General features: G+C 41.1%; 1 long non-coding RNA gene across 1 annotated transcript, besides 1 other annotated feature; it reads right to left on the reverse strand.

Moving 5' to 3' along the window:
- On the reverse strand, window positions 1–11,306 carry LOC105373744 (uncharacterized). The gene is made up of 4 exons (XR_923586.2): window positions 11,151–11,306; window positions 10,618–10,724; window positions 4,819–4,890; window positions 1–519 (listed from the first exon to the last, which is right to left on the reverse strand). It is a non-coding gene; the product is annotated as an uncharacterized LOC105373744 (long non-coding RNA).
- Window positions 15,787–15,856: an enhancer, noted in NCBI's record as "active region_16768". NCBI's record gives its function as "activates an Ori minimal core promoter by ATAC-STARR-seq in GM12878 lymphoblastoid cells {active_cell/tissue: GM12878}" and the evidence as "EXISTENCE:reporter gene assay evidence [ECO:0000049][PMID:35858748]".

Below are 16,298 nucleotides of genomic sequence, written 5' to 3' on the forward strand. Positions count from 1 at the left end.
TATTTCTGCAATCATCCATCATTCTTAGTTGATGAATCTTCTATTTTTTCCATAAACTTTCTTTCTTGGTGAAAGGTACTTGTTTTGCCGTATAGCTCAAGTTAATTCTATATCAAGAAGGCATATGCTACCCAAAGTGCTGTTTCTAACTGCAGATGCCTTTCTTTAACCTTTTGGAGATCTGTAGAATGACTTATCTTCAAGAAATGTGAATGCAGAAGTAATGCAAGAGAACCTATCTATGTTAACTGAAAAGTTAGGGTGTAGAGTCCCAGTTTACTCTAATACATGTGCTCTCAAAATGTACACACATGCATACACAAGTGTTTTATTTTAAGATGTGGGAAAACAAGACACCTACCAGAAAAGCTGAATGAGATATATTCATCTTAGGAGGCTACAATGGACAAGACCGAGAGTCAAATGGATAACTCATCAATCAGATTATTGACCTTCTCTGTCACGATGTTGATGAGTTCCATCTACAGCCTTGTTTGGGTTGGGATTAAAGATGAAGAACTGTTGTGGGGAAGAAAGAGACAGAAAGGTTGTAGGACAGTCAGTGAATAGATTTCCCCTAGAGTAAACTCATTGTTCACACAAACATTTTGATCTACTATTATATGGTCAACTTGAAGAAGAATTAATGTTTTTTGTCTTGAATGTACAAAACTAATCTGTAAAGAAAGAGAACAACAAAGACTTTATTGTAGTTACTTGTCATTTCCTTAGTGGTTTTATTTCTAAAACTTGCCAGTGACAGAGACCTAGTCAGAACAAAGGAGTTTAGACTCCATTGCCAGAAGGAAACAGGAGGTGGTGGAAGATTAGAGGGTGGGAATTTCCCAGTTGCTGAAAAGAGAGAACGCAACACACTTCAGATTTCTCAGTATTGGTAGTAGTTATTTTGTATGTGTGTGCTCCTGGAGCACCTTATCAAAATCTCCAATATAACACGTAACACATTGCATTATAATTTTTTACTTGCATTCCTCTGTTACATTTATTTATTTATTTTTGATATGGAGTTTCGCTCTTGTTGCCCAGACTGGAGTGCAATGGCACAATCTTGGCTCATTGCAACCTCTGTCTCCTGGGTTCAAGAGATTCTCCTGTCTCAGCCTCCTGAGTAGCTGGGATTACAGGCGCACGCCACCATGCCTGGGTAATTTTTATATTTTTAGTAGAGACAGAGTTTCGCCATGTTGGCCAGGCTGGCCTCGAACTCCTGACCTCAGGTGATCTGCCCACCTCGGCCTCCCAATGTTCTGGGATTACAGGTGTGAACCATTGCGCCCAGCCTCAGATACATTTATGAACAATCAGGTCACACCAAAAGACTTAATGCAGAAATTTATAGGCCTAGAAAATCTCAAGTTTTCTTCCCTATGGGACTGTGAACTCTTATAATACTATGAAGACATACCATAGGAGAGGTGTGGCTGAACACAGTAGGTGGTAAAGAGGCAATAATGAAAAGAATATGACCTCTGTATTGGTTTCTAAATCAATAGGGGTGATTTAAAATGGTGATTTAAATCCACAGGTGTTTGCTTTTCTTATATAAGAAGAAGTCTGGAGATAGACAGAGTCTGGATGTTGCTTCAGCAGCCCCATATATATCTAGGAGTCTCAGCCTTTCCTTCTTGGTGGCAAGATGGCTCCTGCAGCACCAGCCATCACATCCACATTCAAGGTAGTGCCAGGGCTTTACCTACAGTTGTCCCTGATACTTATTCATTCATTTTTTCTTTCATCAAATATTTTCTGAACACCTGCTATGTGCCAGATAATAAACTAGGCACTGCGAATAGAAAGATGCTCCAGCCAAGATGTAGAAAAGGGGACATCATATGTTTTTGTTCTTATGAGGAAAGCAAAAGCCTTCTTTGGAACCTTCTACAGGCTTCCTTTATGTTTCATAGACAAGAAATTCATACCTGCCTCCTTGTAATTCAATCACGGGTAAAAGGTAATTGGAAGATTGAAGCCTTAGAACAATCATAACTCATTTTCTGAGGCTGGGGGAGGGGCTACCCTTCCCTAAACCATATGACAGTCATAATCCTGGACTTTACACGCAATTGCTACCCCTACTGCTCATTCATTCATCTATTCAACAAATGTTATTGAACACCTGCTGTCTGCCAGGTACAAGTTAGGCACTGAGAATACTAAGATGCATATGACCAGGAGTTCCCAGACTGCTGGAGAATGAAAGCAATGAAAACAAATCATTGTAAAGCAATGTGATAAGATGTAGTAAGGTGATATTGGGAGTGGAGAAAAGCCCACAAGTACTTATGAATTTCTCAACCAGAGAATATGGGGTAGATTGAGATAAATGACGCCTGCATAGAAGAGAGGGTATTACAGCAGGCCCTTGAGGAGAAACGGGATTTCACAGAGCACAGATGGGTTGAAGGTAGAAGGGAGGCAGTGAGGGACTCAGGAGGCTCTGATCTAGTTGCAATTTATCATAGGGTGCTGGGAGTATTTATTTCCCCATGGAATTCAGTGATTTCCTCTTGTCTGTATGTTGACTTCCCATGCCACTGATTCAAGGGCTGTGAAGCAGAGTAGTGGGTACAGGGGAAGGCTGATTCTACTTTGGAGACTTCTCTCTGGGCAAAAATGTCTTCCATTAAAATTATAATCTCTTTATCCTTTCCCTAATCCTGCCAAACTAAGAGATAGGAGAGTTAACGTTGTCCGTCTGGTCCAGAAAGATCTAACCTTTCAAAGCATCAGAGGGGAAGGGGCACGATTCCCCTCATTGTTCATGCTACGTTTCTAACATGTCACCCTCACTTTAGCAACTTTAATGGCATGACAAGGCATACAGGAGCGCCGTCTGGTCATGCAAAGAGCTTTCCAGCTGCAAGCTCCATTTTTCCCAAAAAAGGGAAAGCCTGAAGTTCCCCAATACATTCATGAGGGGGCTTCAGAGGAGGAGGGGCCCAGGGTCTGTCTGCATTTTAGAGAAGTCCAAACATGCCAGACAAGGAAGACATCCATGGTCCCCCAGCTGCTAATCCACAAAAGGCCGGGTTGGTCTTCTTTATAAACCTAATCCTCCCGTCCACAGTGATTAGGTGTCTGAGGACACTCTGCATCAGAAGCACCGGGTTCTTTCTGAATCAGTCGATGAGCCAATACCCAGCAATCCCTTTAGAAAGCAGGGGGTTATGACATCTGACCTTAGAGAAACCAGATGACATAATCCAACCCTATACAACTCTATTTTGGGTCTCACTAATCACAATCCCCTATTGAGGGAGAGGGGTCTACTATCTTAGGATGTGTCTAGGGAGATAGGAAGAGATGACCTCTGGAAGCTTTATTTTGACTTAAAAATATTGTAGCTTAAAAAATATTCTTGATCCCTTTAAAAAGTAAATTAAATGTGGTTTGGGGAGGTGTGTCTTGAATTGGATTAAATATTGGATGTTGTAGCCCGCCAGGATAATGCTGAAACTAAGGCCACACATGCTCTGTCTGAGCTAAAAGAAGGGATGCCAAGTGCACCAGTAATGTCCTCAGCAGCAGAGGTTCCAGATGCCTGGCAACCTGCTGGGCAGAGAATTCAGAGGCACCAGCTCTTCCCACTATTACATGAATTACATCTGCAAACTGAATACATGAAGATGAACAAAATCCTGTATCATTCTAAGTTCTACAGATTTATTTGTCCAAAATTTAAATAGGAAAATGGAAAATAATAATGAATGAATATTTCTAGAAATCCAGATTGATAAATTACAGACAATGAAGAACATTTTCTACTAGAATAGTCTTTTTGGCTGGGCATGGTGGCTCATGCCTGTAATCCCAGTGCTTTGGAAGGCTGAGGTGGGAGGATCCCTAAGGGGAGACCATCACTTGAGCCCAGGAGTTTGAGATCAGCCTGGGCAACATAGTGAGACTTTGTCTCTGCAAATAATTTAAAAAATTAGCTGGTGGTGGTGGTGCATGCCTGTGGTCCCAGCTACTCAGGAGGCTGAGGCAGGAGGAGCACCTGAGCCCAGGAGGTTGAGGCTGCAGTGAGCCGAGATAATGCACTCCAGCCTGGGTGATGAAGCAAGACCCTGTCTCAAAACAGCAACAGCAGCAGCAACAACAACAACAACACAATTTTGATTTTGTGTAAGTTGTAAGTTGTGTAAGTTATTTCATGCCCTAAAATGGAAACATTTTACATTTTATTGTTTAATTATATACATTTGGCATATTAGGAAAAGTGATTATTTAAATAAAGTTTTAAATTTTAGAATAGTTTTAGATTTGCAAAATAGTTGCAAAAATAATACAGAGCTCTCTTATACCTCTCACCACTTTCCTCTACTAACAACTTCTTACATTAGTATGGTACATTAGTTACAATGAATGAACCAGTACAGATACATTATTGTTATTATTATTTCTTTTTAAGTAGGGTTTCACTCTGTCACCCAAGCTGGAGTGCAGTGGTGCAGTCATAACTCATTGCAACCTCAACCTCCTGGGCTCAAGCTATCCTCCCACCTCAGCCTCTTGAGTAGCTGGGACCACAGGTGCACACCACCATGCGCAGCTAATTAAATTTTTTTTTTTTTTTTTTAGAGACAGGATCTCCCTGCATTGCCCAGGCTGGTCACAAATTCCTGGGCTCAAGTGACTCTCCCACCTTGGCCTCCCAAAGAGCTGGGATTATACACGTGAGCCATCACGCCTGGCCCAAGTCCATTATTATTAAAGTCCATACTTTCTTCAGATTTCCTTAGTTTTTACTTAATGCCCCTTTTCTGTTCTGGGATCTCATCCAAGATACTACATTACCTCTAGTCATATATCTCCTTAGGCTCCTCTAGACGATGACAATTTCTCAGATGTTCCTTGTTTCTTGATAACCTGAATAGTTATAAGGGGCACTGGTCAGGTATTTTGCAGAATGCTCCTCAAAAAAAAAAAAAATTCTTCCTCATGATTAGCCTGGGGTTGTGGGTTTTTGGTGGGGGAGTGGGCACCGCAGAGGTGAAGTGCATTCTCATCGCATCATTTCTAGGGCACATCCTATCAACAGAATCCGTCACTGTTAATGCTGACCTTGGCCACATGGCTGAGGAAGTGTTTGGTCAGGTTTCTACACTGTAAAGTGACTCTCCGGCCCCCTACCCCCTGCCCTTCACATACTGCACTCTGTGGGAAGGAGGGTCCCACAGATATTTGATATTTATTCTCCTAGGTTTTATCTTATTCTTGTCACATTATATCCTGTCTCCTTTCCTCTCAGTTTTTAGCAGTCTAGCTGAAGTAGGAGCCTGGCATTCAGTGCAAGAGTAAGGGAGATATCTACCTTCTACGCTCTTCAACTTAGAAATTATAAAAAGGAGAAAGATTATCTAAAAGGTAATTGAAACAATTTGTACCTTTTAAAAGAAGTACTTAATAAATCTTTTCTGCACATATAAGAAGATACGTGGAATTTACTATAAGACAGATAATTGGATCATCGTGAGGGTAGGTATTAATGGGAATGGCAATGAACGGGGGATGGGGATGATGAGGTTATTACCTCTCCCTACAAAGCTGGACCTTGATGACAGTGTTGGAGTGATATTTTGTTGCACATTTTCACTATTAGACCATCTCTGTTAAACCCACCCTTGGTACCCACTTTGCCAAGAACAAACTGTAAGACCTTGGGGCAAATCATTTCACCTTTTGAACCCTTAGGCCCACATTGTCATATGGGGAAGTTATCACCTGCTTTTTACTAGTTTTAGTGCATCACTGACAGATGCTCATGAAATTTGTGTGTGATGCTGCATTGAAAAGGGGAGAACAGATGTACAACCTCTTAGCCACTATTCTGGAATAAAAAAAAATTCTAAAAACTGGAAGTTATTGCATAACTCCCTTGGCAGCCAAACATGGCATGACCTAATATGAGGCCACTGATCATTTTTCTTTATCCCATTTAATATAAACATCTATATATTTAGCTGCAGAAATGTGAATGTTTGATTGTGGATTGCTGCCCAGAGTACAATGGGGACATTATGTAATATATGACATATGTACTGGGTTATAATTCTAAATTCCTGACATTTCTGAATTCTGAAACCCATCTGGTGCAAAGGAATTCAGATAAGAGGCTGTGGGTCTTTATTTCTAGATATCATTATTATTTCCCTGCCATGAAGTAGGACTTTTCTCAAATCTTTCTAAAACCACAGCCACTAACATTTTTCCTTCCTTTTCAGAGAGTCACAGCAAATTTCTTATTCATGTTTTCACTTATAGAATCGTCTCAAAATTCTTCAATGTCAGAGCTAAAGGGTGTATGGGAACCATTGTTCTAGTTATCAGATGGGTGAATTAGGGCCCGAAGCATGTATTGAGGAGGCCATTCCATGGCAGAGAGGTGTCCAGATAATGCGAAAAGCCACCTGAGTCCCATACCCACGTTCCACCTTCTAGAGTGTGCAGCCTCCGTTCCTAGTTGGTAATCTCTTCCCTGCAATTAAATTCATTTGATGGTGCATCTTAAATCAACTTTAATTGGACACTTGCTGTGCTTTAAAAATACTACTTTTCCTTGTCTATGTAAGTTTCTTTGCACGCTATCACTTTTTTTTTTAAGCAGAAGAATTTGTATGTGTAGTATGTGTGTGTGTGTGTGTTAGAGTAAAACAGTCTGTAAAATTATTATCTGGAGGCAAGAGTTCTTTTTCCAGTTACTTGGTTAACTTTACCTGTTGATAGCCTGGGACACATTGTAAATATTTTTCAACCCCATGTAAAGAACTATCTTAATTAAGTGCAATGCATCCTTTAGAACTTCAATGAGCTGTAAAATCAGCTCTTCACCTTCAAATGCCTGATATAGCTAATTTCACGCGATATGCCAGCAACAGGCAGCCATAAGGTAGAAACCAGAACAGAGTGCTAGAAATAGAGACAAAAGTTTTATGTTGCTTTAAACAACAAAACAAGACAAAAAACAACTTTCCCTCTTTACTCTCAGTTTTATATGGCAAACTGGGTATCATTTGACCTCTGACTTTTATTCCTCTTATTTTGTATTCCAGATGATTCTGGGTACAAATAACAGAAGCACAAAAAAGGCTACTCTGATTAATAATTTTTGCTTTCTAAAGAATGTATGCATCAAAATGTGGGTGGAAATTTAAAGGCCACAGTAGACCTATTAGCACTGTATGTTCACTGGAGGAGGATTGATTGGAGCTAACTGCATGAGTTATGCGTAGAACATTATCCTTGAGTGGAGTTATATGTATGTCCTGAATATTATGCTTTGTTACAGTTTATTGGCCTTGATTCTACTTGTGAGGCCAGAGTATATTGCTCAGTTTTAGGGGAGCATTAACTATTTCAATCTGCCCTGATGAATCATAAAGCAAGGAAATAGACAGCACTGGATTTTTCTGGATTTTTACGTACACATTAGGACCCACTGCTTGAGTCTCTAGGGGCCTTTATGCATTCAGAAATCCCCAAATGACAAGGTGAAATCATGCCTAGGTGACAGTAGCCAATAGGTCCCAGACAAATCTTCTATCAATCACATCCAGCTGGAAACAAAACTCCTTCCCAATAAAATATTCCCAGCTAAGGTTTGAGTCAAGAAGAGAATCTTGCATTCAAACTAGGATGCCCCTCTGCTCACATTTTGCAAAGGTACTTCCATTTCCCACAGATCATTTTTTTTTTTAAACAGACTCAGGTATTCTAGCCGGGATGGTTTTGAAAGCATAACGTGCTGTCTGTTGTCTAGAAAGATGATGTGCGTGCCCCACTGCCAGAAGGGCATGCTCTTTGAATTGCTTTTGCTGCAGTGGGAAAAGGAGTTTCTCTAATTCATCCACACATTCTCTTCTATTGTCTCTGGGCCTGTGGAGGCCCCTAGTGAAGACTGGGGAACACGAAATAAGGCTGCGGCTCCTTGGAGAGGTTCCTGGGGGCAGAGATTTGGGTGGCTCTCGAGAAATAGCAGAATGTTCAAGGAAGAACAATCTGGAGAAACTGGGATAGGTAAGAAGCTGCACAATCATGTTTACATGTTTTTGGTTTTGTTTTTGTATTTTAGAAACAGGGTCTTGCTCTGTCTCTCAGGCAGGATTGCAGTGGTGCAATATCAACTCACTGCAGCCTTGACCTCTGGGCTCAGGTAATCCTTCCTCCTCAGCCTCCCAGCGGCTGGGACTACAAGTGTGCACCACCATGCCTGGCTAACTTTTTGATTTTTTGTAGAGACAGGGTCTCACTTTGTTTCCCAGGCTGGTCTTGAACTTCTGGGCTCAAGTGATCCTCCCACCTCGGCCTCTCAAAATGTTGGGATTACAGGCATGAGCCACTGTGCCCAGCCCACAATCATGCTTAAATTTTTTTTCTTTTCTCACTCAAGTATTAGGATTATCATACATCTTAAACATACACTACTCCTTTATTAGCAATTTTATCTTTTGTTCCTATGAAGAGTCCATTTTGCATTTTGCTAAAGGTACTCTGATTTTACTTCATATATTTGTTACTCCTTCATACTGGAAACTGGAGGATGAGGTGAAATGAATTCAGGGAGGACAAGAGTTGGAGAAACCTGAAATCTCAACATAAGCACAAGACCCCTTCCATCTCTGCTCCACCCACTCTTTCCTTTGGGAGTCTGAAGTATGGAGAATGTTCTGTGAAAAACCAAGAGCAGAATAACAATAGAAGCTGATTTGTTTCCATGTTCAAATCTGATGTTAATGGTGAAGAGGCAAGCTATACTTCCATCTATATCTCCCAAGGAGCATACTTCCCTCTAAAATACAGAGCCTGTGTCTTAAAATGTAAGGATGGGATCCCTGCAGGTACAATGGGCATCACTTGCATATACTTTGTATATATTTGCATAAAACTGCATGCTAAGATTAAGTGACTTTAATTCCATGTTTATAGAATAAAATCAAACAAATTGATACTGCAGCCAACTACAATACCCACCAGCTTCAATATCAGGAAAAATATATATAAAGTACACAGTAGACTTTTTTTTTTTTTTTTGAGACAGAGTCCAGCTCTGTCACCACGGCTGAAGTGTAGTGGCATGATCTCAGCTTACTGCAACCTCTGCCTCCAGGGTTCAAGAGATTCTCCTGCCTCAGCCTTCTGAGTAGCTGGGATTACAGGTGCCCACCACCATGCCCGGCTAATTTTTGTACTTTTAGTAGAGACGGGGTTTCAGCATGCTGACCAGGCTGGTCTCAAACTCCTGACCTCAGGTGATCCGTCCACCTCTGCCTTCCGAAATGCTGGGGTTACAGGTGTGAGCCACCGCGCCTGGCCCACAGTCGACTTTTAAATGAGCTAATTTGATTATATCACCACAAAGACCTTTGAGCAGAAAGAAAAAGAAAATCCGGCTAATTTCATACTAGTGACTCAAAATGGCGGGTTGCTAAAAATAACAGATTTCTCCAAAATGCACGCGAGAAGCTATATTTGGGCAACTGCAAGAAATGTATAGTATGGAAAGTAGGGTTAAGGTGTTTGCTCTTTTATATTGTATGCTGGAGAAGAGTGAAATCCTCACTTTTCAGTGGGCAGTTTCATCATTTAAAAAGATATGCACACAATACACTTACAGCAAATAACCATCTCCAGACAAATTCTGTTATGGCCTCTTTGCGTCCCTGTCCATGTTCAGTAGAATGGAACATTAGGTCATAATTGTGGGGGCAGCAGCTCTTTGGTTTGGCTACCACGGTGAAATGGGTGTGGCAAGGGACCTCGTTTCTGGACTTTGCAGAGTGAATTGGGGCAGTACCATGCAGACATCTCTGGTTTGCTCCTGGGTCGAAAGGCCTTGTGCGACCCTGCTCGTTGCCCCTGCTTCAAACCCCCTGTCATTTTCACAATGGGTCTAAGGGTCATGGGGATGCAGTGCTTGCCAAGAGCACTCAGTTAAGAGCAAGGAAGGGAGAATCATAACCATATCCGTTTCCGAGGAAACAAGATGCCATAACAAAGTGCCACAAACTGGGTGGCTTAGACCAGCAGAAGTCTGGATTCAAGGTGTGGGCAGAGCCTTGCTTCCTGTGAAGGTCCTGGGAAGGATCGTTCGGTCCTCTGTCCTAGCTTCTGGTAGCCCCTTGTCTTGGCAGCATGACTTCAATCTTCACATCGCCTTCTCCCAGTGTGTCTGTCTCTGTGCCCAAAATTGCCCTTTTTCCAAGCACACCTTATTGGTCATATTGGATTAGGGGCCCACCTTCCTCCAACGTGAGCTCATCTTAACTCATTCCATCAGCAATGACCTTAGATCCAAATACGACCTCATTCTCAAGTACTGTTAGTTCCCTCAATGTACGCCTTTTTGGGGACACAATTCAACCCATAGCACTCATCAAGTAGATGTCCTGTGGGTTTAACCTTCATTCTGACTTGTATGACTGCCCTGGGCTGTTTCCAGTTTCTCCAGTGGGAAAGTGCTCCCAAGGAAATTACCTTGCACAGAGGAAAGGCAGATGAAGAACTCATCTCCTAGCTGAATTTTCAACTCGATTTTCAAATCATTTTCCTTCTTGGTGAGCACAGATTGAAACAGCAATAAAGACTTTTCAAACTTACAATGTCAGTCTTGTCAACAGAGAAAGCATGCATCACTGCCCTTCCAACTTGATCATCTCAAGGAGTTTCACTGATTTCACGGCTTCTGTAATTCAATCCCCAGTCAGCTATCCAAAGGGAAATAAAGTGTTATTTTGCCTTATTGTTGACATGGCTATAGGAAACTAGAGAAATAACTGTTTGTAGAGTTATTTGGAATTAGTGGACCAGGATTAATACCTATTAGGAAACTGGCATAAAAGCAACTCGCTCAGAGAGCAGAGAAAGCCCAGCTGGTGGGTGGGAGGTCCCATGGCAACTCCTGTCCCAGGGGAGCAATTTTGCTTTTTACTTTGGTGACATCATATAAATTCAAAGTGACAAACTTCTCTTAAGGACTTTCCAAATTATTTACCCTCTATTAAGAGCTTAGCTCTCCTCTCATTACTTGTAGAAATCATTTAAAGTGATCTCAAACCAGATTTCAAACTGTTATTGAGGACTTGAAAGCTGATAAGAAAAATCACTTAAAGTTTCCAATAACTTGTTTATACCTCTTATTTCCTTATACCCTTGCACAACTGACCAAAAATAAAAAAGAAAGTGGAAAAAATGGCTACACACATCAAAAAATAATGATAATAAAAGCAAAAAGTAACCAGATTAGAGAGATTATATTAGGAAGATAAGGGCAAAAAGGACTATGAGAAAGGTGGAAGGGGTAGGGGAGCAGGAAACAGAGGTAAAAGAATGTTAGAAAACAGAGACCTATTACTGAATAAGAGATGATTCCATTTCAGAACCATAACCAAAATATGAGAAGTACTAGTCATATCTCAAGTCTTTGCTCACCATGAAGTCACTCTTTGTAAACATATCCTCAAGGGAAGAAAAGCAATCTAGTACGGCCAACCACTAATCCACAGACTCTGTAATCCAGAATATTAATCCCTAATCCAGAACACTGTGTGTGTTGGTAGTGGGGAAGGGTTATTCAACAAGGACAACCATATGGATGTATGGGAATTAAGGGTCATAATCCCAAGGAATATGTTGTACCTTCAAGGGGCTTATAGTCTGTGTCACTGAACACTGGAAAATAAGTGGCATCCAGCTAGATCCAATGTTTGCTTTTTAGTCACTGTATTCTAATCTGGAGGCCTGGGCTTCCAGTCTCTTTCAGATTGTTGGCAGAATTCTGTTCCTTGTGGCTGCAGGACTGAGGTCCTTGTTCCCTTTCTGGCTGTCAGCTTGGGGCTGTTTTCACCTCCTGGAGACTGCCCACATTCCCCACCACTTGGCTTCCTGCATCTTCAAAATTCACACATGGTGAAGTTGAATCCCCCTTGGGCTCTCAACCTGACTTGATCCTCTTTTGCAACTAGCCAGAGAAAATCCTCTACTTTTAAAGGGCTCATATAATTATGTCAGGCCCGCTGGGATAATCTTCCTATCTTAAGGTCAACTGGCTTGGGACCTTAATTACATTTGCAAAAATCCTTTCATGGCAGTGTTTGATTGAATAACTGGGAGAAGGAGTGTGTACTGCAGGCTGAGTATCTGGAAAGCTATCTTTGAATTTTGCCTACCATGGCTTCCTTCTTACATTAGTGGTACTTCTGCTGAAACAGCAACAAGCCAATTTGCTATTTGTATAGAAATGTCTCTCTAAAAAGCAGAAGGCTGCAATAACATTGCATGATGTATTTTTCAAGATGAATATAGTACTCTTAAAAATCATTGGTCTGGGTGTTGTGGCTAACAACTGTAATCCTAGGACTTTGAGAGGCCAAGGCAGGTGGATCAGTTGAGCCCAAGAGTTTGAGATCAGCCTGCGCAATATGGCAAAACTCCATCTCCGCACACACACAAAAAATTAGCTGGGCATGGTGGCGTGTGGCTGTGGCTGTAGCTCTAGTCCCAGCTACTAGGAAGGCTGAGGTGGGAGGATCACCTGAGCCTGGGAGGTTGATGCTGCCGTGAGCTGTGATCATGCCACTGCACTCTAGCCTGGGTGACAGAGTGAGACCTTGTCTCAAAAATAAAAATAAAAATAAAAAAATCGCCGTACTATTTACAAAAACAGTTCTTAATACTTTTGCATTAAAAGGGTGACTTTAGTGCTCACTTTGGCAGCACATATATTAAAATTGGAATGATACAGAGATCAGCAATTTCAGTTAAATAAGAAAAAAATTTTTTTAAAAGGCTGACTTTAAAACCAGAGTTCAGACATTAAAACCCAAGGTTCAGGGAGCTGAGAGTGGGTGATCCCTGTATAGAGGCCAGTTCTTAGTAGGAATTACATGGCTCTGTGTGGTCCCACTGTCAGGCAAGCTTCACCCAATTTGCTCACTGAAAAGACAAACTAACACGATCATTTTGGTTTTGAATCTGAATTTTGTAGCAACAACATATACTATCAAGACTCAACTTTTGCTAGCACAATAATCTTATTTTATTTTACTTTAAGTTCCGGGACACACGTGCAGAATATGCAGGTTTGCTACACAGGTAAATAGGTAGCACAATAGTCTTAGAAATAGAAACTAAAATAAGTAAATGAAATAAAAGCTCTTTACAAAATATTATGGAAAATATCGCAAATCACAAAGGCCAGAATAAAAACAACCTCTAATTATACTACCCAGAGTTAACCACTGTTAACGTTTTGGCTTTTTGTTTCAGTCTTTTTTTTCCTCTCTTCTACATAAACATGTTTATTAGTCATAGGCCAATCAGGAGACAGAAACCACACAGTAATTTGAACAGGGAAAATTTATTATAAATAATTGTTAACTATAACGTAGGCCTAACTAGGAAGGTGAAAACAATGCTCTAAACAATATCCTAGGGCTGAGGATGAAAATCGGGAGGAACCACTTTGAAGGAGGTCCTTTTCCCCACGACGGATTCAGACAGTGAGGGAAAAGAGATTCTCAGCTCCATTGAATGGTGGAGCTCTCCTGGCTGCCTGAGACAGAACTGGTGCATGGTTGCAGGGAAAAGGGGGAACATATGTCTGCAGGGCAGGTCCTCAGAGACAGCCAGGGCACAAAGAGTCATCTTGTTGGCAGGACAGATAGAGGCCCGGGGTGAGTGGTGTCTCTGTTGGGGGTCACCGGCTGGGGCTCTCTGAGAACTTGCAGAGAAACTGCATGCTCTGGGTGTGTGGCAGGGGCAGAGGCTTCTGGCAGTGGTGCGCTAGGAGCAAGTAGAAAAACAACGGCCGTCCGACGGACGTCCGGGAACCTTGGGCGGGGCTCGTGGGGTAGCTTCTTCCTCCTGCAGTGTCTCTCCTGCGCCCTCTACCGACAAGCTAAACCTCATTCTCGCTGCAAAGGAAAAAATGCTTGAAGGGTCCAGCCTATGAAAGCAAAACAGGTCATGAAAGTAGATTTGGAGGTGAGAGGCAATGTACTACTAAACTGAGATCACAACATGTATCTTATTTTGTAAACTGTTTTATTTACTTCAAAATATACTCAAAACATTTTCTCATATGATGAAAAATATTCTTCTACTATATATATATATATATGTATATTTATTTTTTTCTTTTTCTTTTTTTGAGACGGAGTCTCGCTCTGTCGCCCAGGCTGGAGTGCAGTGGCGGGATCTCGGCTCACTGCAAGCTCCGCCTGCCGGGTTGACGCCATTCTCCTGCCTCAGCCTCCCAAGTAGCTGGGACTACAGGCGTCTGCCACCACGCCCGGCTAATTTTTTTGTATTTTTTAGTAGAGACGGGGTTTCACCGTGTTAGCCAGGATGGTCTCGATCTCCTGATCTCGTGATCCGCCCACCTCGGCCTCCCAAAGTGCTGGGATTGCAGGCGTGAGCCACCGTGCCCGGCCTACAATATAATTTTTAACAGGTGTATGATAATTTATATAATGGATGACCCTAACTTTTTTAGCCAGTATTCAGTTTTGGGCCATTGAGGTTATTTCCACTTTATAGCTATTATAAACAGTGCTGTAACAAATATTCTAGTGGTGAATGCTTGCCATATTTGTATTTCCTTAGGATAAAGTCCTAGCAATGGGATTCCTGGATTGAAGAACATATATACTCTTAATATTTTTATTCATGTTCTGAGATTTCCCCGCCAAAAGACAGCAGTATATTTTAAAGCAACGAGTCTTAGTAACATCTCTACATTTTATTTTTAAAATTTGTACTAATTTTACAAGCATACTAATTAAATGAATTTCATGATGGTAATAAAATAGTCTTGGAGAAAACAATTCTCAAAACAACATTTAATAATGAATTATACCAAAGAATTATTTAAAATGATAATGAAGTGGCTATTAGTACAATACCAAAGAGAGAGAAATGAACAGAACTTACAAATGCAGACACTGATTATTCCAAAATAAATTTTAAACTGTAAACACAGAGCTTATTGTAACAGACCATTTTTTTACAGGAACAGTTAATAGTTTGCTTTAAAATAATTATCTTTTTAAAAAATCGTAGTAATTAGATTTATTCTTAACTCAGAAAAATGCAGTAGAAAAAATACTAGAAAGAAAAACAGAATGAAATGAGAAAGGAAAAGAGGGAAGGAAGGAAGGACAAGAAGACAGGAAGATTTTTCCGAAAGAGGCAGGAAGGAGAGTGTATTGAAGAAAAGAAGAAAAACTAGAAGGAAAGAAAATATGAAAGAGTATATGAATAGAGCAGAAGCAAAAAAAAAAGAAAAAAAAAAGGGAAAAGAAACATTTTAAAGCAAATTCCACCTCCAGAATGGTAATATTTAATGGGCTAACTATCAAAACATTTTTAAGTACTAAGAACACACAACTTAAGAAAGAAAGACATACTTGTAGGAAATAAGCCTTAATTGTCCAATTTGCCAGAGAAGCAGAGATGGCAGTGTTTCTGTGACACTTACGTGGTTGGCTTCTGTCATCATGGAAGTAAGTACAGAAGCACATGCATTTCCACATGGCTACAGAATCCCCAACGCTTCGGTTTGCTATAGGATGCCTCCAAATAAATGGCACAAGTATTTCCACAAAGAAGGTTTGGAGTAGACACATTGAGCATTTCCACCATGGGGTGGTAGAATTTACTTGACGGGTTAGTTATGGCAATGTGGTTTCTCAACAGGCTGCATGGGGGTCTGGCTTGCAAAGGAGCTCGCATATAAAGTGAAAGCTGCTCAGGAGAGCCAGGTCTCCCCACAGGCGTCCTGTGTTCACAGTCCTCGTAAATGTTCTCTGGAGGCCACAGATTCATTATGTCGGAAAAGGTAGAGCAACAGACAGAAAATGCTGGCAGAGGTCCAGCCCTCTGTGGGCTTCGAGTGTGGTATTGCCTAGAGTTTGTTCCTACAGGTATTTTTGCATAAAGACCTCTGTCTGAGGAAGTGAGTCTAAGACAGCAGAGCTCAGGACGGTCTTTTAGAGTATTGGGTGCCCACGACTCTTTTGAAAGAAGTCCATTGATACTCCTCTACTATTTCCCCCGATCTATTTGAGAGCCAGCAAACTGATTTGATAAAACAGTGATAGATTTGTCAGATTAAGATAGTAATTTGCTTCCATTAATTTGAGAGGCATCAGTGTCTCACAGTGAGAAGAAATATGGCCACCCTGGTGGGATACATTTAAATTCATTAAATTTTCTGGCTTTCATCTGAGACACTGAGACTTTTTCTTCTCAGCCCATAAATCCTTTCAGTTTTTACTTCA

Source organism: Homo sapiens, chromosome 2, assembly GCF_000001405.40.
Source record: "Homo sapiens chromosome 2, GRCh38.p14 Primary Assembly".
In the NCBI taxonomy this organism is placed as follows: domain Eukaryota; kingdom Metazoa; phylum Chordata; class Mammalia; order Primates; family Hominidae; genus Homo; species Homo sapiens.